This window comes from Homo sapiens, chromosome 2, assembly GCF_000001405.40.
Source record: "Homo sapiens chromosome 2, GRCh38.p14 Primary Assembly".
Taxonomy (NCBI): Eukaryota; Metazoa; Chordata; class Mammalia; order Primates; family Hominidae; genus Homo; species Homo sapiens.
In genome coordinates this window covers 67,602,777-67,629,186 of record NC_000002.12, presented here as the reverse complement: position 1 = coordinate 67,629,186, position 26,410 = coordinate 67,602,777, and the positions used below count along the sequence as shown (strand labels likewise).

The 26,410-nt window shown below is 37.8% G+C and overlaps 1 long non-coding RNA gene across 1 annotated transcript in view, besides 1 other annotated feature; it reads left to right on the top strand.

Moving 5' to 3' along the window:
* Nucleotides 1–26,410, top strand: part of LOC105374786 (uncharacterized) — a 98,219-nt gene that overhangs the window by 21,844 nt on the left and 49,965 nt on the right. The window lies entirely within an intron of this gene.
* Nucleotides 11,436–11,605: an enhancer, noted in NCBI's record as "experimental_58914 CRE fragment used in MPRA reporter constructs". NCBI's record gives its function as "activates a minimal promoter by MPRAs in K562 erythroleukemia cells, with activity observed for both the introgressed and non-introgressed 2:67844799 variant alleles {active_cell/tissue: K562}" and the evidence as "EXISTENCE:reporter gene assay evidence [ECO:0000049][PMID:34662402]".

Sequence of the window (26,410 nt, the reverse complement as noted above, 5' to 3'; positions counted from 1 at the left end):
GAAGGTCCATTAGCTGTAGAGCAATGTGAGATGAGATGCACCTGATAGGTATCAGGCAGAGGAGGAGGAAACTGTGTAAGAGACCTCTGGCTATTTTCCCAGTTTTAATAACCTCTATTTGAGGGTATCAACCACATCTTTACGACTTCCACCTGTACCCAGCCTAATAAGATCAAGCCCTGCCTCTCATGCAGCCATGAAACCCAAAATGAGAGTTCCACTGTTGTAGGTGAAAAAAGACCCAGAGCCAGTTCAGTGTACTGGACAGAGTCAAGAAGAGAGGTCAAGGAAGCCAGCCTCCCACTTTAAGAATACACAAATTGGGTCTCATTTTTCCAATGGGCGAGTTTAAGAGCCATGGTCATTTTTTCTATGAGATGAAAGAAACATAAAGAAGAGACAATGCACATTTTTTTCTTTGTTCTTTATAGTATGTGACTTTAAGCATCTGTTTTAAACTGGTTTATGACAGCAAGCAAATGGAAGTGGCCATTGTTTAGATCATAGCCCATTGGTTTTAGATCTGTCGCTTTTGATGCATCAGGGTTTCAGCTTCTGGTTCTGGGTATCTATTTTCCTTTCATGCTCTGGTTCACTTGGTTTTAGCCACTGCTTCAGGGAATGCTTTGCGTTCCTTAGTTTTTCGCTTTTCATTCAACTCTTAGTTTTTCTCAGCCTCTGATTTGTGGAAAAATAGTTCTTCCTCTAAACTGGCTCCATGGTATTCCTCCCACTTCTTTGATCCCTCTCCCGGGAAGAAAATCGCAGTCTTCTTTTCAGGGAATGAGGATTAACACAATGTTTTGGGAAAGACAAGCAATGAGGAGACAATGGAAGATGGTGTAAGGAATTAGAATCTATGCTGCATCCTTTTCCAGGTACCACTAACCTTACAAAACTCTGTGGCCTTAAAACACATTCAGATTTAAGTTCTGCCTTATCTGCCAGAATTTATATCATTTGTCACAGACTTAGAGCAAATGGCTGTACTCTTCGGATTCCATCAGCAATATGGAACGGGGGCTCAGCCAGAGCCTAGGGCCTTTATCCTTGCACTCTAAGTTGAGCTCACTGTTTACTGACAGTGATATTGGAAACTTGATGGGACACCAGATGTTCCAGCAGCCTTTCCTTAATGCAGAGCTTCTATGATCAGAAAGCTGAGTGGCTATATTTGCATATGAAACTGTTTTCTATGGCAGTGCTGGGAATATTAATTGGGGTTGTTCCATGGAGCTCTGGAGACTTGAGTCCTTAGCAATGATTTAGGAAGACCTGTTGCAAATGACTACAGTTAAATTAGCAAGCTGTGCAGCTGATGGCCTTGATGTGGGCTTTAGGAGTGTCTCTCAAGCCAGCTAGAACTTATGGCCCTGAATTGTTCTCAGTGTTTCCAGGATGAATTAAAAGAGAATGAAGACCCCTCCCTAAAGGAACTTTCAGTCTACTTGTGTGAGTAAGACATGCAGACAGGGACATTACAAGGTGACATAGAAACAAGATGAGAGTGTGGGGCAGACAGTTACGTAAGCACTGAAGGGATTGAAGGTGAAGCAATTGTCAACTTGCTGTCTTCCTTTCCACATACTGGAAAATCTCCCACTAGCCTAAAAAAAGAGTCAGCATTATTGGACTACACTTTGCCACTTATTTTCAATTTCCAGATAAGTTAGTCATGATTTTTAAGCTGACAATAAACCAAATGTGATTGCTTCTAATATAATAGTCTATTAAGATGCAAAGATGAAAAGTGAACTATGCCTTATTTGTTAGGGAATTAGAATGGCCCAGTCTACCCCTCAGAATGCCCTGTGCTTATTCCACCCAAGAGTTTTAGACAGTTCCTAAATCTTTAGTGCTTCAAGGCATCTATGCCGCCATTTATTTTATCTTCCTACCTCTATTTACCTACATGTATTCTAATATCTACATTCGTGTTAGGGGTCTTCATTTATGTAGAAGAATCTAAAGTGATTAAAAGAATTATTCAGGCTAAATTTTTATGTTCAACTTGATTAGATTGACAATTAAATACCAGGCAGTGTGAAAATACCAGTTCCAATGAATTATCTGTCTATATATAATTTTGCCATAATTTCAGAATTTGTTTCATTCAGGCATGAATGCTATACAAATACTCAAGGAATACATGGATGATAAGCAAAATATAGATGCAGACATGAAGTACAGTGCAAAAACACTACTCAAGCTCTGCAACAATGAGAGATTCTTTTGAAGGATTTTAGACAATGTGGGGACGGTTACCAAAGCCACAGGAATGCCAGGCCTAAAGCACTGGCTACAGAATCTAAGTTTAAAGAGATGATGATGGATTATCCAATTCTTTCATGAGACCTTACTCAGAATCCCGTGGTGAATGAAGCCCTGGTCAAGACATTTTTCACAAGGTTGCAGTAGTAACTGAGAATGAGCAAAGAGAGGGAATAAAGTTGAAACTAGCGCTAAAGAGAATGAACTATGAAGATGAGTTCAGTTCCTTAATCTTTTAAAGATATTTTCCAGGTGGTTCGACTGAGCTGTGTAACATTTCCAAACATGTAGATAAATCTCCTCATCTATCATGATGTCACCAATGACCCTAAAAATCTGCACTCCATGGTTCATCATGAAAACATTTCACGGATGCTTTATTATTTTCTGTGAGGAGGGGAAACTCAGGTTTTTTGGAATTTGGGGCTTGCTCCTTATGGGCTCAGGCTGAAGTGCAAAGCGTGTTTGGATTCAACCTTCATCTTGAGGATGTTTTGAGTATAATAAAACTACAAGGCCCTTTATTAAATTTAAAGTCATGGGTTGCATGTTGAGCGGCCTGCATTCCATCCCATTGTTTAAATTCATCAAATAGTCACTCTGGAATTATTTCTAACAACTGGGATGACTTCATTTGTGTTTGTTTTCCCTTTCTATTAATCCATGACAAACTGTGAAATTTGCCATTTTTACCATAACCAGGCCATGAAATTTGTCATCTCTCTCCGTAATTTACATGGAGCCTTGGCTATAGATATATTTCAGGCAGGATGATTGCTTTCTGTCTGAGGCAGAGGACAGAACAAAGGAGGGATATACACAGAATAGAACACAAACAAATTCAGAACAGACATCAGGAAGGGCTTTTTTTTCTTTTCCTTTAATACTGTAAAGTCTGCTAAAATGTGCTGACTGCCTCCCTGAGAAAAGGTTGATGGGACAAACTAAGGTACTATTTTCAAGCCAAGAAACAATGAAATGACACTCCAGGGATAGGGGAGTACTTAAAAGTGGAGACGTCTTGACAAACTGGAGTGAGTTAGAGGGATGTGGTCAGAAATCGTGTGAGTAATGTAGTTGGGAGGCATTTGAAAGTGGAATTTCAGAGGCAAGCCCTCATAACAGTACAAGAGCCTTAAAGCTTGTTCACAAGCTATTGTTCATGGGATGGTAAATTTTTTCTTCTCTTTCTATTCTCTCTTCTCCAAAATTGAATATCAATTAAGTTCTTCCATGTCAGATGCATGAAAAGTTCTCTGAACAATTTGTGCTGAAAATTAGACTAGATGTTTTGCAAGAAAGATCTTGTATCTGTTTCTAATGATCTTCTTTTTGGTTTGGAGAAAGGAAGGAAAAAACAGAATTTCACTGTCCATTTGCCTAATTTGCAAACTACAACATCTTCTTTGAACTGTGGACTCTGACAAGCTGTGTTATTAAAACTGTAGCAATGGCTAACTGAGCACTAGAAAGGAAGGTCACTAAGCCAAGCAGACAAGCTATTTCTCCATGGTGGGTATGGCTTTGTTGTTGTAAGTTTACTCTGAAAGAGAAATGAGGCTATTTCAACATACTATTGGAAGTTCTGGCCAGGGCAATGAGGCAAGAGAAAGAAAGTGTATTCAAATAGAAGAGAGGAAGTCAAATTGTCTCTGTTTGCAGATGACATGATTTTATATTTAGAAAACCCCATCATGTCAGACTCAAAACTCCTTAAACTGATAAGCAACTTCAGCAAAGTCTCAGGATACAAAATCAGTGTGCAAAAATCACAAACATTCCTTCACACCAACAATAGGCAAGCAGAGAGCCAAATCATGAATGAACTCCCATTCACAATTGCTACAAAGAGAATAAAATACCTAGGAATACAGCTAACAAGGGATGTGAAAGACCTCTTCAAGGAGAACTACAAACCACTGCTCAAGGAAATAAGAGAGGACACAGGCAAATGGAACAACATTCCATCCTCATGGATAGGAAGAATCGATATTGTGAAAATGGCCATACTGCCCAAAGTAATTTATAGATTTCATGCTATTCCCATCAAACTACCATTGACATTCTTCACAGAATTAGGAAAAAAATCTTAAATTTCATATGGAATCAAAGAAGACCCCATATATCCAAGACAAGCCTAAGGAAAAGGAACAAAGCTGGAGGCATCACACTACCTGACTTCAAACTATGCTACAAGGCTACAGTAACCCAAACAGCAAGGTACTGTTACCAAAACAGACATAAAGACCAATGGAGCAGAACAGAGACCTTAGAAATAACACCACACATCTACAACCATCTGATCTTTGACAAATCTGATTTAAAAAAAAGCAATGGGGAAAGGATCTCCTATTCAGTAAATTGTGCTGGGAAAACTGGCTAGCCATATGCAGAAAACTGAAACTGGACGCCTTCCTTACACTTTATACAAAAATTAATTCCAGATGGATTAAAGACTTAAACGTAAAACCCCAAACCATAAAAACCCTAGAAGAAAACATAGGCAATACCCATCAGGACATAAGCATGGGCAAAGATCTCATGACAAAAACACCAAAAGCAATTGCAACAAAAGCCAAAATTGACAAATGGGGTCTAATTAGAGAGCTTCTGCACAGCAAAAGAAAGTATCATCAGAGTGACCAGGCAACCCACAGAATGGGAGAAATTTTTTGCAATGTATGCATCTGACAAAGGTCTAATATCCAGAATTTACAAGGAGCGTAAACATATTTACAAGAAAAAAAACAACCCTATCAAAAAGTGGGAAAAGGATATGAACAGACACTTCTCAAAAGAAGACATTTACATGGCCAACAAACATATGAAAAAAAGCTCAACATCACTGATCATCAGAGAAATGCAAATCAAAACCACAATGAGATACCATCTCACGCCAGTCAGAATGGTGATTAAGTCAGGAAACAATAGATGCTGGTAAGGCTGTGGAAAAATAGGAACATTTTTACACTATTGGTGGGAATGTAAATTAGTTCAACCATTTTGGAAGACAGTATGGCAATACCTCAAGGATTTAGAACTAGACATACCATTTGACTCAGCAATCCCATTACTGGGTATGTAACCAAAGGAAAATAAATCATTCTACACTAAAGACACATGCACACGTATGTTTGTTGCAGCACTATTTACAATAGCAAAGACATGGAACCAACCCATATGCCCATCAATGATAGACTAGATAAAGAAAATGTGGTACATATACACCATGGAATACTATGCAGCCATAAAAAGGAATGAGATCATGTCCTTTGCAGGGACATGGATGAAGCTGGAAGCCATCATCCTCAGCCAACTAACACAGGCACAGAAAACCAAACACTGTATGTTCTCACTCATAAGTGGGAGTTGAACATTGAGAACACATGGACACAGAGAGGGAAACAACACACACCAGGGCCTGCTGTGGGTGACGGTTGAGGGGAGGGAACTTAGAGAACAGGTCAATAGGTGCAGCAAACTACCATGGGAGACATATACCTATGTAACAAACCTGCACGTTGCACATGTATCCCATTTTTTTAAGAAGAAATAAAGGGCTGGGCAGCGTGGCTCATGCCTGTAATCCCAGCACTTTGGGAGGCCGAGGGGGGTGGATCACGAGGTCAGGAGATCGAGACCACCCTGGCTAACATGGTGAAACCCCGTCTCTACTAAAAATACAAAAAATTAGCCAGGCGTGGTGGTGGGCGCCTGTAGTCCCAGCTACTCGGGAGGCTGAGGCAGGAGAATGGCATGAACCCAGGAGGCAGAGCTTTCAGTGAGCTGAGATCACGCCACTGCACTCCAGCCTGGGCGACAGAGCGAGACTCTGTCTCAAAAAAAAAAAAAAAGGAATAAAGAAAAAAAATAAAATAATTATCTTTATTAATTTATCATGTTTCCATGTAACATTATAATCTCTTCTAAAGTATGATTTTTGATAGCTTTATCTTATCCTATTAAGTAAATGAATTAATATTTCCTTTATATTACCTTGTGACTAAACTGTTCTTTTTGGTTGCATCTATTTTTTTATGACTATAAATGCTGTAATGATTATCTTTGTGTATAAATCTTTGTATGCATTTCTGACTATTTCCTAGGATATATTCCTAAGTAACCAATTATTAGGTCAAAGCATACAGTTATTTTATAAGACACATTTTTGCCAAATTGCATTCCAGTATGGTTGTACCAATTTGCATTAATAACAGCTTGTTGATTTCATCCTCCTCAGCATTGAATATCTCCATTTTAAGGAATTCTTACTTTGGTAATTTTATAAACCAAAAAAATCATATGTTGCCTTATACTGCACTTTTGTGATTGTGCATTTGCAATTACACTCTGGTAAAGCTGAACTTTCAATATTTCCTTTAATGTAAATCACCGTCTATCCATTTATCTTTTATGGTATTGTGTCAGCCAAGAGGAAACAGCTTCTAGACTGTTGACTACAGAAATGGCATTGACTGAGGGTTCCAACTGCAGCACTTTGAAATCCACTGCCCTATTTATGCCCAAGCCACGCCACCAATGCACTGCCCCTCACCAAAGACTGAGGGTAGTGGGGATACTGAAGCAGACCCATTCTTAGAAGATAGAACACTTTTGTCAGCTGACTTTGTCTCAAGGATTTCTCTCTGACTTTCTGACACCTCTTAGACTGTAAGACAGTCTGCACCCTCTACCAGCAGCTCCGGTGGCTCTCACAGTCTGCTTGTCTTCCTTCTTACTTCCTTTTATGTGGGCATTTCCCCTAAGGTTATGAGTTGAATTATGTTCCCTCAAAATTCATATATTGAAATCCTACCCCAGTACCTCAGAATGTATCCTTATTTGAAAATCAGGTTGTTGCAGATGCAATTAGTTGAAATGAGGTCATACTGCAGTAGGATGGTCCCTTAATCCAAGGATGATAGATGTCCGCATATATAGTCAAGAACACCAGGTGAAGAGACCGATGCTTACAAAGAAAAGACAAAGTGAGGACACAGGAAGAACACCATATACAAGCCAATGAATTACCACCAGAAGCCAGAGGAAGGCATGGAACAGATTCTCCCTCATGCCCAGGAGGCACCAACTTGGCTAACACCTTGATTTCCAACTGCTAGCCTCCACATCTGTGAGACAATAAATTTCTGTCATTTAAGTCACCTAGCTGTGGTATTTTGTTATGGGAGCCCTAATATGCCTACTAAAATTCTTGTACTTTTAATTCTGTCTTATTGTTTGCTTCTTAGACACCTGGAATAAGACAAGCTGTATGTGATTTTTTAATATATTGAATACTAAATCTCTGTCATATTCTTGATAATATTATTCTATTTTATATGCATTTTAATTTAGTTTATATTATTTTAAATTGACAAGTAATATAAATTTTTATGTGCTTAAATAATCAATATTCTCATGGGCTTTTTCACTTTCTTTCTTTTTGTAAGTCTTTCCCTCACTAGAAAGATGACAAATGGTCATTCTCCTCTTCTTCCTTCCCCCGCTTTCCCCACTTTTTTTCCTAGTTTTTAAGGCTTAGACTTTACATTTAGCTCTTAAGTACACTGAGAACTTAGTTTGCGCATGTGGTGAAATATAAAGCCTATGGTATTGTTCCAGTCTTTTCTCACTTCTATTTTCTTTCAAAATGTATTTAACTATTCTTCCATATATATTCTTTCATATAAACTTTTGAAACTTTTTCTTCCATGCTAACGGACAGAAAAAATGCTATTGGAAATTTTATTAAATATACTTTAAACAAACAAGTCTATTTGTCAGTAATTAATATGATTACATTTAGTTTTGCCACCTAAGAACATTATGTCTCCAATTATCCAATAATTAGTTTATATTTTTCAGGAGCAATTTGAAGTTTTCTTTATATAGGTCTCTTGCATATCCTGCTAAAATTATTGTAAAGTATTTTATGGATTTAGCTTTTATAAATGTCATATTTTTTCATGATATTTTCTAACTAGTATAAAGAAGAGTCATTGATTTCCACATGGTCATCTCCTAGTCAACCACTTTTACTAAAATTTCTTATTAATTTCTATTTTAGAGCTTTAGCACATTTTTTGGAATATTCTCTGTGGTGGTAAATCTCACAGTAACATTTTCTATAAGAGCTGGAAGAATCTAAAGGTCATCCTACCCTCTCATTTTATAGATGATACATCAGGGAGCCTCAGAACCATGCTCTAAACATTATGAAAGGAAGACCCTGGAAAGGCCCTACACCATCTTCCTGGAGATTCTTAAACCAAAGATCAGACAGCTCAATATATAGAAATGATTTAACATTTCTGAATAATTATAGCAATAAAATAATAGCCACCATTTTATCAAGGTCTAGACACTCTGCTTGGTGTTTTACCTGGACTGTCTCATTTTATTCTTAAAACAATCATTTAAAATGCAGTTGTTCAAGGTCACTGGCAAGGTTGCTGGCAAGAAGATGAATGTCTGTTCTCTTCTCACTCCACCAGGTGGTTCCTCCATCCAGTCCTCTTTAGGATCAGAAGAGATTCACCAAGTGACTTCTTAGAGTTCTGTGTTATCCTTCGTTAACATGATCCTTTGTCTATTATTAATGATTGATAGAGTTGATCTAGGCTTTTGTTGCAGAGAATAGATTCCTCATCCCCACGCCTACACAAAATACAAAATAATTAAAAAAAAAAAAAACCTGACAGCTATTTAAAAGGTTCTATTAGCTAGGTCTGAATGCCTAGTAAAAAAGGATTGAATTGCTAAGTATATTTTGATCCTCAACTATCTGCCCTTTTGGAGACTTTAAAAAATTATCAAAATGTTTTCTACCTAGAAAGAGTTAGCATCTGGAGTTACTGAACCCCCATGATGGATGGGACTTGGATATCATCTCATCCAATGTGTTATTTGATGCACACCCCTAAAGAGTGCTTGGCCAGTCTCTTTGGGACACCTTTCTAATTAATAGAAGTTCCTTCTTTCTGAAGTCGGCCTCCTGTCTTCTACTCGTCTCTACCAAGTTCCTTTTGTAGTCACATGGGATATGTTACATTTCTTTAAATCTTTGAAGACAACTACCATATTTTGCACCCATCTTTCTCAGCAACATCTCTTCTTTTCTCTGGTCCTCAATTTCTTCAAGCATTTTTCATGTCATGTGAGCTCCTCCTCCTTCCTAAACTCCATCCTCTGAATACTGTTCTCTTTGTTAATATCCTTCTTAAAATGTAGGGTGTAGTACTGAACGGAGGGGTTAGGATGTAGTACAAATAGTGTACAGGAGAGGATGTATTGTGCTTTTTTTTGATCTGGATTATTAAATTTGTATCAATATAGTTAATCTTATTAGCTTTTTAAGCAATTGCACTATATAGTTAATAGGCTCCATTCCCATGCAACTTTTGATTCTCTTCCCTGCTCTCAATTTTGCTACTCCACCAATCTTTTCCATCTTAGTAAATGGCCCCATGATTCATCCAGTTGCTTTGGCTGACATTTGGATACCATACTTGACTCCTTCTCATTAAGCAATCCATTGTTATGTCCCATCTACTCATCTTTCAAATGGTATCACCACCTCCACAACTATCACCCCAGTCCAAGTCACTGCCATCTCTCTCCTGGGCAGATGGAATTGCCTCTTCACTTGTCTCAGAATTTCCTCTCTGGAATCTTATTTAGTATGTTTTCCAACAGAAGACAGAGCAATTTTCTTAAATTGCAAATCAGATTATGACACTTCCTTACTCAAAAATTTTAGGATCCTCCAATTCACCCTGACAAAATCCAGGCTTCTGTACTGTGGCCCACAAACCCCTCCATGATCTGGCCCCTTCCTACCTCTCCCATGTTACTGGGTCTTTTTTTTTTTAAATAAATTATTGTATATATCTATGGTATACAACACAATGTATGGGATATTTATAGATAGTAAAAATGTGACTCAAGTGAAGCCAATTAATATAACCATCATCTTTCCTTCTGTTTCTTGAACACATTAACCTTCTCCCTTACTTGAGGCTCTTGTACCTACTGTCTCCTATGCCAGGAATGTTCTCTCAGTCCTTGCTTGCTTGGCTATTCCCTCAATTAATTTATGCTCAAATATCACCTCCTTAAAAAGTCCATCTTTGATAATTCTATCTAAAACACAATCCCTCATCTTTCCATAGTCACATTCTGTTTCCTCACTCTGCTTTATTTTTCCTCCTGGAACTTACCACTAGCTGCCACTATATGTTTATTTGTTCATTTGTTTAATTTCTGTCTCTACCTCTAGAATGTCAGCTCCATCAGAGTAGGAATTTTATCTGTCTTGTTTTTTGCATAGAGGTGCCTAAAACAATTCCAGATATATACTATGTACTTACAGACACTAGTAGGCTCCTGACACATATTTGTTAATGAATGAATTATTAAATAATGGACGGTATTGAGTTTGTAGCCAGACAAACTGTGTAGTCTTCTTGTTGCTAAGATATCCTCTATGCGTTGTGGTTTTCTAAAGAGTTTGGTAATTTTATCTTGAGTGCATAATTTCTTCTGAGCTACAGGATCAAATTCATTCTTCCTGGCTTCCTAGACTTATATTTCCATTTCTCAACTTAGGCACTACTTTCTCCTACATAATCTTGTTTGTACTGTCCTTTCCAGAATGAATATCTTTCTGTTTGAAAGACAATGTGAAATCTGGGACATTCTACTTAATTCTAAAAATTAACAGTTAATCAACTCAGTAGGCTTTGTCTTCCTTCCCACTCTTGTTTTAAAATAACAAATTAAGAAAAAATTGCTATCCTTCTAAGCATTTTCCCTAAGTTTCAACTCTTTCTGAGCCCATTTCACTTAGGAAAACAAGTCTAATATATGTGAAACAATGAGAGAAGAGTGTAAGATGTTTTGCTAATAGGTGATATGGCACATAGACTTTAAAGCTTTCAGAAAATGGAATGATCTCAGAGAGTGCAGAATTAAGAAGAGTTTTGTGTAGGATGCTTCTCAAGTTTTAAACAAGCTGGCACATTTTATAGAGTAAAGTAATGGCTTTTTAGGAAGAGTATAATATTATACACAGTTTTTAAGAATTAAGCAGAGCTAGGTGCTGGTAATTTCGTCAGATTGTATGTCTTAACTGTGCATGACTTTTATCAGCAGCCAAAAAGACATAAAGGTCTATGTGAAGTCAAGGATAGTGTGGCAGAGTGTTCAAACAAAGTTTTCAGGTCAGCAGACAGCCTTGGATGTACTTTGAGAGGGTGAGGTCAATAACATCACAGCAGCAAGCATAAGCTAACCATCTTGAGAGATTAATGATTTGCTGTTCTCCTAGCCCAGAGACTCAGTGACAATTTTCCCCAAATAACTTCACGTTTAAAGAGTAGAAACAATAAGTGTGTGTTTGTGCTCAGGCATGTATATGTGTGCTTGTGAATATGTGCATACTATGAACATACATGTATGTTTGTACCATAAGGGAAGAGGCTTGCTCTTTTATTACCAAGGAATCCATTTTTTTTCTCTCTTGTTTTATACATCAGTGAGGCCTGTCTAGCTTTCAAAGGCCCTGCGAAGTTCATTATAGTGGCATTAAACAGTAGAGAAAAAAGTAAGATTTTGCAGTTGAAGCATTTGAATGAGATGACCCTTTAGATCTAGTGATATATTGATTCAGAGCACAGGAAGAAACTTAAGAAGACCATCTGTGGTAGGAAAGGGGTCTGCTGGACACCTTTGAAGGATTCTTTTTTTTTCATAGTGACAGTCCAACCCATTGGTATAGTTGGCTGATAGGTGATAAACATTATGAAACATGAAAATTATACTACATGGCTAAGTTTTGCTTTTTCAACAACTGTGCTGTTGGGCTGACGTAACTCATTTCCTGTTTCCATTACTGTTGTTAGTCCCAATTCCTCCCACATCTGCACCCAGATATATCTTATTCTGCAGCCTGTCTGCCCATGTGGGCTCTGTGGTGACCTCATTCTTGAGAAGGGGACTGTGAGCTGTGCTCAAGATGGACAGCCCCTGACAAATGGGTGTTTATGCCCTGAGTGCACAGCTGGGGACTGCTGCAGCCATCCTGGGCTCACTGTACTGTGGTGGGGCTTTACAAAAGGTTTCCAGCATATGTTTGTCTGGATATTTTCAACACTCCCACACAGCTCTGTTTTAAATATTTAACCTTATATGAGGATGTCTGAGGCTTCCTGAAGTTATTCCTGTGATTTATAAAAGAGAAGAAATCTGATCATATGAATAGCAATAGAATGATCAAAAAACCAAATGGTAATCCACTCATTTGCTGTCTTTTTTTGTTTTGGGACTTTGTACATAGAGAACTTAGATCTCAGCTGTTGCCCCACTTGCCATTCAATCTGTCAATATGTCTTTATGGAGCCTAATACATACTAAGCACAAAGGTAAATACAGAAAAGTGAGTCTTAGAAACCCTGCTTTCTGGTGTACAGCCTAATTGGAAAATACTGTCGAATACTATGGAGTGGCATTACATAAGACTAACAGAAAACAGTTTTTTGAGTGTTTACTATGTGCCAAGGCCTTGTGTTGTCTTTAAGTGTATCATGTCATTTACATTCTGTCATAACAATCCTATTAGGTAGGTGGTGTTTTTCTCCCCATTACTTTGATAAGAAACCTGAAGTTAGTGGGACTGAGGAACCTAGCAAAACCACTCTTCCAGGAGAGCCAGGATTCACACCTAGTTCCTTCTGAGTTCCCAGCTGGATGTGGCTCTGGAAGTCAACGTGGTAATCACATGCTGCAGCATGCCAGTAGTGCTGGTCTCTGTAGTGCACAAAGTCAATACTGTTGGAGTGAAGAAGAAAAGGCCTGAGAGCATTAGAATCTTCAGTGGTGTTCTCCCACTCAACACATGGAAGTGGGACTTGGGCCTTCATCTGGGTTATTCAAAGTGACCCCACATCAAAAGCACCTCACACTCACCCAAGGTTAAATTCCTCAACTGTTCTTTTTAATTCAACATAATCATATTAGCACAAGTTAATATATAAAAACATGGAGGCTTGGGTTTTTGTCATTGTTGTTGTTTTTAACCTTATTCCTGCCACCAAACCTCTTTTAGATCATGTGGATAATTACTTGACTTCAGTTTATGAGTTAACTCCATGTAGGAAATAAAGACTCTATGAGTAACTCCACTTTCTTTGTTATCTTTTGTAATTTCTTCTTAATTATTATAGTATAGTGGTTAAGAGGAATGGCTTTGGAGTCATACTGTCTATATTTGAATCCTAGCTCCTACACTTACTGGTGGTAGGTGTACCCTCTCTGTGCCTCAGTTTCCTTATCTGTACCTACCTTATTGGGTTATTGAGAGGATTAGTAAAATATATAAAATCTATGAAAAGTGGCTGGTGCAAACTAAGTACTTAATGTATGCTGACACTTCAGTCAATTATTGATGATGGGATGATTAGATATATCCTTTACCCAGTGACTATTTTCCCCAGCATATAGATATTCTCTAAATATTTGTTGAGGCCAGGCCTCAAAGTGTTTGTAATCCCAGCACTTTGGGAGGCCAAAGCGGGTGGATCATGAAGTCAGGAGTTCAAGAGCCAGCCTGGCTAACATGTTGAAATGCCGACTCTACTAAAAATATAAAAAGTACCTGGGCACAGTGGCAGGCACCTGTAATCCCAGCTACTAGGGAGGCTGAGGCAGGAGAATGGCTTGAACCTGAGAGGTGGAGGTTGCAGTGAGCCGAGATCACACCACTGTACCCCAGAGTGGGACACAGAGGGAGACTCTGTCTCAAGAAAAAAAAAATTGTTGAATAAGAGACACAAAGATTCCATTCACTATGTGAGTTGAGTCTTTGATGCTAAGGGTGATAATCATAACATGTGTCTGAGTTCTGAGGATTCTTTCTATTACAGATTTATACAATGTCAGAACTGCAAGAGGTCCATAGCAGTCTCTGGGTTTAGCCCTTCTGGGCTCACAGATAAGCAAATAGAGGCCAGAGATTCACAGCACCCCAGTGAGGAAGCCTGTGCAGGATTTTTATCCCCATCTGAGAGAAACTTGTAGAAGGGATCCTCAGACTTGTAATATCACAAGGCACCTTCAATTCTCAAAGCACACTCAAAGAACAACCCATCTTGATTCTCTTTAGCTTAGAAGTAAGACTGGTCATACATCATTCCTTGGGGTTGTTGATGATTACCTGTGAAACCAACTGGGGTTGCCACACTGCCTAGTTCCAGAGGCCATAATTCCCTTAGTCATCGTCATCTATAAGAATTGTACCCTTGGGATTCTGTGTGCACAGTATAACTCTGGCTCTCATAAATCAACCAATACAATGTAGATCATCAAAGCTGGGAACTGTGACAATGGATGATACTCAAATCTTTTTATTGGTTACAATATGACAGCAGGTATAGCCACTCTGTGACTTAAGTGTAGTTCCTATTTGTTTTTTAATATTTTAATAAATGGGCATTTATTTAGCAAATATTTACTGAGGACCATGATCCAGGAACTAGCCCGGAAACTATGGATGCCCTCCTGGAGCTTACATTATTCTGGAGATGCATAAACAGATCAGAAACAATGAGTTTGCTTGACAGAAACAACTAATTTGAATTACGTGATGCAAACAACTAGTTGAGTGGCCAATTAATTTTCTCAACAATACCTTTGTGTGTGTCATGAGAGAGGGCACAATGTAGGTAGAACTTACACCAGGGCATATACCACGCCAGGAATCTATTTTTTTTTCATAGCTACTTGGCTTCATTTTTCTTCTGAGGATGAAGGTCAGTATTATTCTGTCTTGATATGATGAGGCAGTCAACAGAATAATTCGAGGTCTTGGGTGAAAGAAATTTGTATGTAAAATTTGAGATTGCCAAACAATATCTTAGATATCAGCAGTGCCTCTATAAATGCTCAAAATTCTCAATTTTATGCAATATGTAACACTGAGTGATTAAGTCAGATTAAATCATATCGAAGACTATAATATTTTTATTGTAGAACTCATTTGCGTTCCTCACTCAAAACTTCCCTCATCTGTTCATCACACTCAGTAAATTTGTAGCCTTTGCTCCACAAATGCATTTTAATAAACAGAAACATTTTCTTTTTCCTGAAAGTGAGTTACTTATCTCTTTATTTTTCCAAGAGGAAATTCAAAAGAAAAGTTTGGACTATATCTATGGTACCATTTTCATAGTTCTGTCGACCAGGACTTGAAAAAAAAAAAAGGTACATTTGAATCCATGTGAACATTTTGACTGTTAAACTTCAACTATGTCTTGGTGGATTAAGATTTCAGGAAAAAATACATGCCCAAGGTGACAATTTGTAGACCAAGCTTCACCCCAGAGCCATCTAAGCTGTCAGAGATATTAAAGCTCATTAACAGGCTTCTTGTAAGAAACACTCACGAATTATTACTCAGTCATGTGAGCCTCTCAACCACAGTCTCACACTTCACAGTTCTTAGGAAAATCTTCTCATTGATGTTGGAGTGTTGCACTCAAGCTGAGAGCCTGAGGCCTTTAATTGAAAGGCAAACATATTGGTTTTATATCTTGTCCTTTCTGGAGGGTGTAGTTTTTTGTTTGTTTTGTTTTGATTTTTTTTAAAGTGACAGTAGTGAGAAAGTGGAAGGGAGGAAATCCACTCACCTGTGACTATATTAAACCACCCACCAGCTGTTAATAATATAGCACATTATTCCATCCTATAAGAAGTCTTTAATATATGAAAGGAAAGTCCTTGCTGGGGGATTAACAAGCAGAACGGGGTGAAATGCAACACTTGCTTTTGATGGTGTCAGAGTTATCTTTTGCAAGCTATTGATGCTATTTTCTACTGTTTTCTTAAAGATTAGCCTTAGGGAATATAAATAATTAGGCATAAAATCTCTGGCATGATATTTAATCCATCACGTGTCGGTTTTCAGTGGCAGGAAGGGCCGCAGTCAGCTGTGGGGAGAGCAGATCTGGCTGAACTGCCCTCTTCACCTGCTGGGTGGGCGTGTTCTCAGGAGGATCAGAATAGTCCTGAACAAGCTGTATCCTTGAGCAATCTGGTCACATTGCTGATGTTTCTGTGTTTGTTTGTAGTATGGCCTGAAGGTCTTCTTTGCAGGCAAACTGAATCCTTATAAAGGAGTAAGGGCAAACCAGTGAAACATCAGAGGGTTGCCTCTTTGGGAAAAATTGGGGGATTATGTAACTCTCATAGTTCCAGGAAGAATGGAGAGGAATGATGAAATTAGTGTAGGCTGGTGAAATTGCCTGTGAACCAGGCCAGTATTTGACATTCCAGTTCATGAGTGTGTTGGTCAAGGTTCTGCAGAGAAACAGAACCAATAGGACATATATAAATATATAGAGAGATGTAAAGGTTGGTCTCATGTAATCATGTGAAGCTAGTGAGTCCACAGTCTGCAGGGTGGGCTGGCAGGCTGGGAACCCAGAGAGGAACTGATGTTGCAGCTCAGGTCCAAAGGCCAACTTCTGGCAGAATTCCTTCTTTCTCAAGGGAGGTCAGTCTTTGTTCTATTCAGATCTTCAACTGATTGGAGGAGGGCCACTCACATTATCTGTGAGTGGCAATCTGCTTTACTGAAAGTCCACTGGTTTAAATGTTAATTTCATCAGAAGAACACCCTCACAGAGATATCCAGAGTATCTCTGTTTGACCAAATATCTGGGCCCTGTGGCCCACATAAGTTGACATATGAAATTAACCATTATAGCCGGTTACTTGTCAACTAGACTAAATATTGTATATTTGCATCATGTCAAATTCCAAAGTATTTTGGAAAGACAGGCCAAGAAAAGACTACGGTGAATATATGTCAGAATCTTTAAGATAGTATGTAAAAACCTAGTGGATAAAAAGTAGGATAATACATATTGAATATTGCTTATCCAAAATGCTTGGGACCAGAAGTATTTCAAATTTTGGATATTTTTAGATATTGGAATATTTTCATGACATATACTTACTGGTTCAGCATCTCTAATCTGAAAATCCAAAATCTGAAATGCTCCAATGAGCATTTCCTTTGAGTTTCATATCAATGCTCAGGAAGTTTCAGAAATTGGAGCATTTCAGGTTTCACATTTTTGGATTAAGATACTCAACCTGTAATAGTAGTATAATAAATAATAATTAATAAATAATTATAAATAATAGCAAACATTTATTTGGTACTATGTGTCAGGAATCCTTAAAAACTATGTGAGGTAGTCGATATCCTGGAATCAATAACTGCATTCAAGTCCCAGCTCTATGACTCACTGGCTATGTGACCTTGGAAAGTCCTTCAGCCTCTCTCTACTTTACTTTTCTTAGTGGGGGAATGGGAACAGTAATAGCCCTAAGGCCAAGGATTACTTGGAAGATCAAATGAGTGTTTTTATACCAAGTGTTAACAATAGTACCTGACACGCTAGAAGCACTCAGTAAAAGCCATTATTCTTATAGAGGATAATAGAGCAGAGAGATGATGGGAATGGAGGCATGAGATCCATCCAAAACCTAGAAATGATGTATTCGTTGGGTATCCCTACATGCTCACATCGAGCATGTTTATAGATTGATAAATGAACACATCCTTCCACTGAAGCTTTAGGAACCTGAAATTCAACTGAAAACACTACATTCTTGTCTCCCTTGGTAAACCCAGTGACCTATTTTGCCAAAGGAGAATATAAGGGGAAGCCCAACACATATCTTGTGTCTTCCTTAATATTGACACTTTTGATTATCTTTATTGAGTTGGGATTAAATAAAACCATCTTATGCATGGAGCTTCCTCTAGAGATGACAGCGGAACAAAGTAGAAATGGTACGCAGACTGAGCAACCCAAAATAATTTAGGATGGGCCAGTGTGAGAGACTTCACGGGCTTAAGCCTCCCTAGATTTGTTTTTATTATATCTCACACTACAGGAATTGTTTTGGGGAAATACTTTTTGACTTTTGTCTTACAGTAATACTGTTATCTCCATACTGAAAATCAATGTGTATTTTGTTTCACTTTAGAGAATCTTAACAAGAGTAGCCTAAAACACACTTTGGAATGCTCATAGTGCTATTAAAAGTCAGACAGACCTTAGTTTTCCTGTAACTCAGTCAAGGACATTTTGGAGCTGTGATGGCCCAAGTCACAAGGGAACTCTTGGTAAGATCTTTAGGTTTAATGACTTCTTGATTTAATTTCTTATTTTTGAGTTTCTCAGCTTTTCCTGTCCTTATTTGTGAGATGGAACTCATCTCTCAGTTTTCATGGCACATTTAACTGTTTGGTTTCTTTTCCTTGTCTGACTTTGATTATTGTTCAATGTACTTATAAGTTTCTTTTAGCTAGGGCTTTGGTTTATAAGAGATTTCAAAACCCTCACACAATTATTTTCTCACCAGGATAGAGTCCTGATTAAGAGAACTATTCCTCTTCTGAAAACACATGATGTCATAGGCCTTACCTAGTTGTTTTCTGCTTGTGGCCTCAGTCTTTTAACTCTAAGTATGGAAAACCAGTAAGCAGCAACAAACAATTTTAGGCTAAGTAGGTTGAAGGGGATTCTCCAGTCCACCATTAAAAAGAAAGAAAAATAGTCAGATCATCACAAAAGCCAGTAAATTCTTAGATAACCAGAGTTGTTTACAAATGTTTTGACCACCCCACTTGGCATAAAGGTGAGCTGGATGGCAAAGGGGTGACCACATAAGTCCCCCACATGATGTTTTATTTGCTTAAATGATTTTTAAATCCTATATCCATGAGATAATTGGCAACTCATTTCAATATAGATGTGGATTATGCAACTGCAGTGGGAAAAGGATTCACTGAAGCTGATCTACTAGAAATCTTTACTTTCAATCTATAAAATATAATGTGGTTGAGAATACAAACGTGTAGCCAAATGCCAATGTTTGCAAAGCAATAGACAAATGGAAAGCTATAAGTATTATCAAGATATGTTGATCTATTAATCTATCTATTTATATATCTGTCTATATATGTATCTATCTATCTAAGGACTCTAGTAAATGTTAAAATAATCAGTATTATTATAATTCCTTTTTTTTTTTTTTTTTTTTTTTTGCTAATAGCTCTCCAGAGCTTCATAGTGGAGTCTAACTTCAGCTTCAAACACTGTATTTTAGGATTCTTTTTTCAATCAGTAGTTTTCTTCCCCCTACCCATTCTTTATGTGATGCTGCATCTTATAGATCAATTGCTACTATTAATCAACTGGAAGAATAAATAAAGTTAACATCATAGACACATCAAGGATCAGTTTTGCCAGCTGGCAAGGACTGGAAAAGGTGTAGTGTGTGTGTGTTAGTGTCATAAATGGCTCTGCATGATGATATAGTTGTTGTTATTTGCAGAAAACTTTATATTTTTGTTAGGTCAAGAAGTCTGTAATTCTTCAAATGATCCCTGAACCTTATTTAATGCAGCAAACCACAAAAGGAGCTGGGTTGAACTTTGGTGTCTGCAAGTTACAAAGTAATAACTTTCCCCATCTCTTCTGTAAGTGATTTGTGCCATGTGATGAATGCAGACCCTTCCCTCACAAGGGTTTCCTGATATTATACACTTGTAGCAAATAAGGTTAGAACCTTTAAAATATAGCATTTAGTAATGTGCTGGAAATAGCTTCTTCTCGATTCTTTTAAAGGTCACTGCATTTGCTTTCCAGGCGTTGTTTTAGCTCAGACCTCCACTGAGTGGAACTGAGAACATGCTTGCTTTTATGTCTTCAATTTTCCTAAGCTTGAGAATAAAATGGCAGGGTCTTTCACATAAAGTAAGTGGGGTGTGTGTGTGTGTGTGTGTGTGTACGTGGGTGTGTGGGTGCGCTCCTGTGAGTTTAGATGTATAAATGCATTCTCAACATAATATTAATATTGGTTATATATACGTACCCTGCTTTTTCAGTAAGGTTAGACTTTTGTTATCATCAGTCTGAAAGCCAAGCTTATGGGAGTGAAACTTGAGGACCAGCAACTAATGGAAAGCAAACTCCAAAGAAAGCAATCAATTATTTGTACTTCGCCTCTGAGCTGCATGGATTAGCCTTCAACAAAAATATATTGACAAGACTCTAGCCAGATCAAATTAACATCAGTACACAAGCTTTGCTTCTGTTACACTGAAAAAATGAATTCATTAAGCCATTGATATAAAGCAAGAAAAATATAGTCAACCACAGCATTGCTATCAAAACTAGTATTGGAATGATAGAGAATGTTTTATAGTAATGGATAGAAATCAAGGCCAGGCTAGTAAAAAAAAAAAAAAGGCTTCTTTTATAAAGTATATTTTTTTGTACAATTTTGTAATTTTTTTGTACAAATTTGTGTTTTTTGTACAATTTTGTAATTTGTCAGCACCAACAATATCCCCACCTTCCTCACACCACCATCATTAGAACTGTCATTAACATCATTTTTACCATATTTAGAGTCAGCAGTTGTGGTTCTGTGTAGAAGCCTATTGCAGTGAAGTAAATGTTTATTTTCCCTTATAATTTGTATGTTGAAATCCTAACCCTCAAGGTGATGGTAGTAGGAGGTGGGGCTTTGGGACGTGATTAGGTCATGAGAGTACAGCCCTCATGAATAGGTACTAGTGTCCTTATAAGAGAGATTCCAGAGAGCTTGTTCTCTCTGTTGGCCATGTGAGAACACAGCACGAAGGCACCATCTATGAACCAGAAAGTGAGACTTCACCATACACCGAATCTGCCAATGCCTTGAACTTGGAGTTTCCAGCCTGCAGAATGTGAAAAACAAATTTCTCTTGTTTATATGCCTCCCAGTTTAAGGTTTTTCATAACAGCAGCCCAAATGGACTAAGACACACACTAAAGATTAAAAGTGGTTCGTATCTGCTAATAACTTGTATTCTATGTTCATGCCCTAGCTAATTCTGATCCCCTCTCTATTCCTTACAAATTTTACCTGTAACTCCAAGCTCCAAGGACTAAATTCTCTTCCTCCATCCATGATCTGTCTTCTTCTGAATTCCCCATAGTAGTCACTATCTGGTTATTAATAATTTTTCATTTGCAATTATCTTTTTTTTGGCTTTTAGCCATCTTTACAAATGTGCATATTTTGTTTTTTCAACTAGAATATAATGGTCTTCAAGGAAAAGACTGTGTTTTGTGCATTGGTATAAATACCATATTATTTGGAGTAGTGCCTTACATGTAGTATTAGTATTTAATAAATATTCAACAAATATTAATCAATAGATTATAATTTACAAAAAGTTGAATAATTTTTTCACAGTGAAAATGTTTCTGTAAGAGGTGTTAATTTAGCCAGGTAAGCTTGTATGTGGAGACCATACCATATGCACTTATCACAGGGTCTTTCATGAGTGTCTGGCTGGGGCTGGGGTGGTTGGGTCAATCAAGAAAGTCGGAATTTGCATTTCAAGTGCAGAATTTTTCTCAGAAAAAAGAAGACTTGGTCTAATTTGTAAAATATTCTCTGCATGTGATATGTAGGTTCAGGAAAGTGTGTTAAGAGGGTTGGAGAAAAATGCTATGAGAAGGAAGTAAAAATATAATCAAAAGGTTAAACCAGTAGCACAGAGAGTGAGATTAGTATGGGAGACTGAACTAATGAACAGCATTGAAAAGCAGGGTCAAGAGTTTGCAGTTGGGCTGCACAGATGGTAGTTGTCCTTAGAAGATTATGAATAACTGAAGCATGCCCTTCATATAAGCACATGTAAAAGATTGCTTTAGTGGCACTAAGAAGTGAGCAAGGAGAACTCATGGATAGAATAATCTAGATATGAGCAGGGCTTTGAGCAAAAAAGGAGGGAAATGAATGATGTACAGAGGGAACTGCTTGACCTGCAAACTGTATAAGAGGCAAGAGGGAGAGGATGACATTGTCACTTCTGCCGGAGCCTTAGTGGAAGAGAAAGATGGCCTTTCCCCCTTCCGGAGAGGAAGAGTGCGCAGTAGTCCCAGTTAATGAGAGTAGGAGTGTGGAAGATTGTTCTCTGCCTAATTCCAAAGAGATCTCTCCTTAGGGTCCAGCTCATGGATGATGATGGGAAGGTTTAAGGTCATATAGATTTGTGGCTGGTGAGTTGAGATATTGTTAACCTTTTAGTAGAGAGACAGTACAGAAAGACACGGATTGAAATCAGGAAACTAGATTTTAGATTTGGCCATGTATTAATTGCAAGCTACTAACTTCTCTGACCTTTTGAAAAACAAGAGGAACAGATCAAATAATCTCTAAGCAAGCATTCGTAGTCTGTGCTTTATTCTGGATTTTGGCACACCATTGCTTAAGATTTGACAGCATGGTGCTGGTATAATTTCTTGGGATTCAGCCTAGAAAGCAGCACAGAGCTCCTATAATGAAGGGCCATCTTTTCTAATATCTTCACTTTGTAATTTATATTGATTTACATCAAATTTTGTTCAAAGGATGTGTCTTCCAAGATTGTTTGTAGTTGAGTTTGCTGCAGGGGAGCTATGTCAGGTATGACAAGTATGAGAAAATGAGTGTCCTAGAAGATAGGGAATGAAGAAAATAGAGACCTTGAACGAAGAGTTACATTTTTAGCCAGCTCTGTTCATGTGGGACTTTCAAGAGCGTGGGATGAAGAATGTTGATCAAGAAAGTATCCAGGAACCTGTCTGCATTATTACAAATGAGAGCACAGTGTCTGTGCTTATAGATCTACGCTTGTGCATTTCATTTTCTTCAACTTGGAAATGTTAGCTTATGTGAATTTCAAAATAACACCCTGCCATGTGAACTCACTTTGTTTAGATTATTTATTTGTATAAATGAAATGGAACCTCCCTGCAGGTTGGAATTTCCCAGACACTTTGAAATATATGTATCTAAGGTGGGGGAAGATATATGAATATGCTTCCTTGACTGATGCTTCAAAATAACGTCCATACCTAAATCTGATGAAGCTTCTAGATCCAGCTATCAATTTATAAGAGAGAAAAGAAGAAAGTGTTAAACTATTACACGGAGATACAATTGCAACATCCAAACTGTGGAAAAATCTACAGGGCATATTACCTGGCTACTTCAATAAAAATGTTATAAGAAAGAAAAAAGAGAGATGAGATGAAATTCATAGGTTAAAAGAGACTTCAAATACTTACGAATGAATTGAATGAATTGATTATGTGGATGCCATTTGCATCCTAATTCAAAGAAACAAATTTTTAAATTATGACATTTGTGAGATAATTGAATGTGAGTACTGACTAGATAGTTGATAATTGCTGATGAAATATTGTTAACTTTTAAGCTGTGATAATAATGTTTTTAAGATTCATTATCTTTTTGAGATATATGAGATACATATAGGAGGAAGAAATGGCTGGAATTGGAATTTCCAAAATAATTTGCTTCAAAATAATATAGTAGGAGGAAGTGGCTGGAACTGGAATTAGCCATGATATGGTTATAGTTGAAGCTGGATGATGGATACATGGCAGTTCATTGTATTATTCTTTGCTTAAAATTTCACAATAAGAAGAAGTTTGTAAAAATGCCATCAATTTGCATGGAGCATTTTCTTTGATTCTTGGAACTTTATTAGCACTTCCTCAAGTGACAGGGTAGACTATCCCCAAAAGAATGGGATATAGATATTGTTGGCCTTTAGGTAGAAGGTGTTACTAATGCTAAAGTGGGACAAGAATTGCTAACAAAAGGAAGTATAACTTTTATTGTGTTAATGGATTTGCCCTCCAGTTTCCAAGCTAGGTACAGGAGGAGAAGAGAACCTTAATTTTTCCGGCATTGCTCTTTGTCTTGGACAGTCTTTTTGGCCTTTTTGTAGAGGCGAGTTATTGGCTGAAAGAGACTGCTATGCATTAACAAGTCACAGCAGTTAGACTTAATTCTTCTGGATTCCATGTGTTTTTCAAGCCACAAATATGCTTTAGAGAGACATTTAGGACATTGGAAATACAAACATTTATGGCAATGGCTTCTCTCCCCTTCACTTTCTGAAGCCCATGAAAAGTGAGCAGTCCTCTTCAGCACTCACATCTTTCTCTGTCATGGTACCTGTAGTGGGCATTTGTTGTTCTCAGAGTATCCTGACTTTCACTGGTGAATTCTCTTCTCTCCTCCTCTATTCTACCAATAGACTTTAGAGTAACCTGATCCCACTTCCAGCTCTAGGGGTGGGCCCAGATTGGCTTAACCTACCTGATCAGCACATTCCACCAGTTACGGCCATTGTTTCTGGAGAGGACATATGCCCCATGCCAGTGTGATGAGTGTGTATCTCAGTGCTATCATAATACTGGGGCAAAAGGAATGTATCCTACTGAACAAAGATGCTTGCATCCCTGACTATGTCAGGCATTTATCCTACTACCACAAGGAGAGCAGATGTTAGGATGGAGCTCATATTGAGGACTGCTGAGCAGAAAGATAAAAAGAAATTGGGTCTCTGGAGATATGACTGAGATGCTGGATCAGTGAATCAGGAAGCTGCCTTTCCTTGAGACTGTTCAGTTCTGAGAGCCAATAAATCTCCATATTGTTTAAGCCAAATGAATTGTGTTTTATAATAAATGAAGCATTCTTACCTTTTGACACAGAAATGCTGGGAATATAATATTTTAATGAAGAATCCAGGAGTGAGAATAGACTGCTCACTTTGCCTTTTGAATGGTCTACACCTCAGATCAGATGTGTTAAGACAGTATTGAGATGACCTAGTTGGAAATGTCAAATAAATATACACGTTCAGTGATTAGGCAAGACCTAAAGGCATGATTTTGCTGAGTCTGATTCTGTCTGGTGGTGGATCCAGAAAATTCTGAATAGTACCAAGTAAAAGAGTAAAAGTGATATTTCAGATCTGCAGAGTAACCTGCATGATGGTACCAGATATTGGGAGCATGATGTCACTAAAGCTTGAGAGGTAGGGGCAGAAGGAAATCTGGGTTTAGCACTATATGTTTCTATTCCCTCCTTGAAAAAACTTAAGTCAACTGTATAGGTCAGCATATACACCTCAAATGGCACTAGACTGCTCCACAGGATGAGCTGCATTTGCCTTATTTGCCTTTGTATTCATTAATTATGTCAATTGTGTCATCTGTATGTCAGGCACCACCATTCTAGGTACTGGGAAACCTTGCATTATAAGTAGATCATATAGTAAGCAAATAGACAAATAAATATATAGTTTATCAGATAGTAATTAGTGTTATGGAAAAAAAATAGTAAAACAGGCTAAAGAGTGCCAAGGAAGAGCGAGATAATATATAATGGTCCAGAAGGTGACATTCGAACAGAAACCTAAAAGACGTGAAGGAAAGAGCCACATATATATCTGGAGGAAGAATATGTCAGGAGGAGGAAACAGCCAGTGCAAAGGGTCCATAGTGGAAGCAAGCTTCATATGTTTAAGGAATGTCAGGGAGGACCGGGTGGTTGGAAAAGTGCAAACAAGGGAGAGATTCAAAGGAGATGAGGACACAGAGCTAATGAGCAGTCAGAATATGAAAGACATTGAAGGCTGCTTTAAAGACTTTGCCTGAATTTTCAAATATTTGGAAAGTTGGCAGAACAAGTTAAATTTGGGTATCAACCATGTGTTACACACATTTTAGTTTACAAAGGTAATTTGATGCAAACTATATTTAAAAACAAGCCAAACAATACATAAGTGGACAAAGAAGAAGCCAACGATCTCCTTCCTTCCAAACTTCCTTCCTACTTTCGCCACTCAAACACTTACCCACCATTGCACCCCTGGAAACAGGTGTTAACAATTTAAGTAGTCAATTATGCCTTTTTTATAAGATCATACAAACTTATACTCTCCCCACCAGGCACATAGATCAGGCATGTAGGATTATAATTATTTCTATTTCTTACAAAAATGGGAGTATATTTTCCACAACCTGCTTTATTTATTTATATATATAAAACAATATTTCATGAACCATGTCAATGCATAGACAACTACACAATCCACTCTTCTTGCCATCTTGTTCTTCATTTTCTTACATCTCTCATGTTGGATGATGGCAAAGAATAAGACTATGATCTAAGTCAGTACCGCTAAATTTTCTCATGTAATATTCCA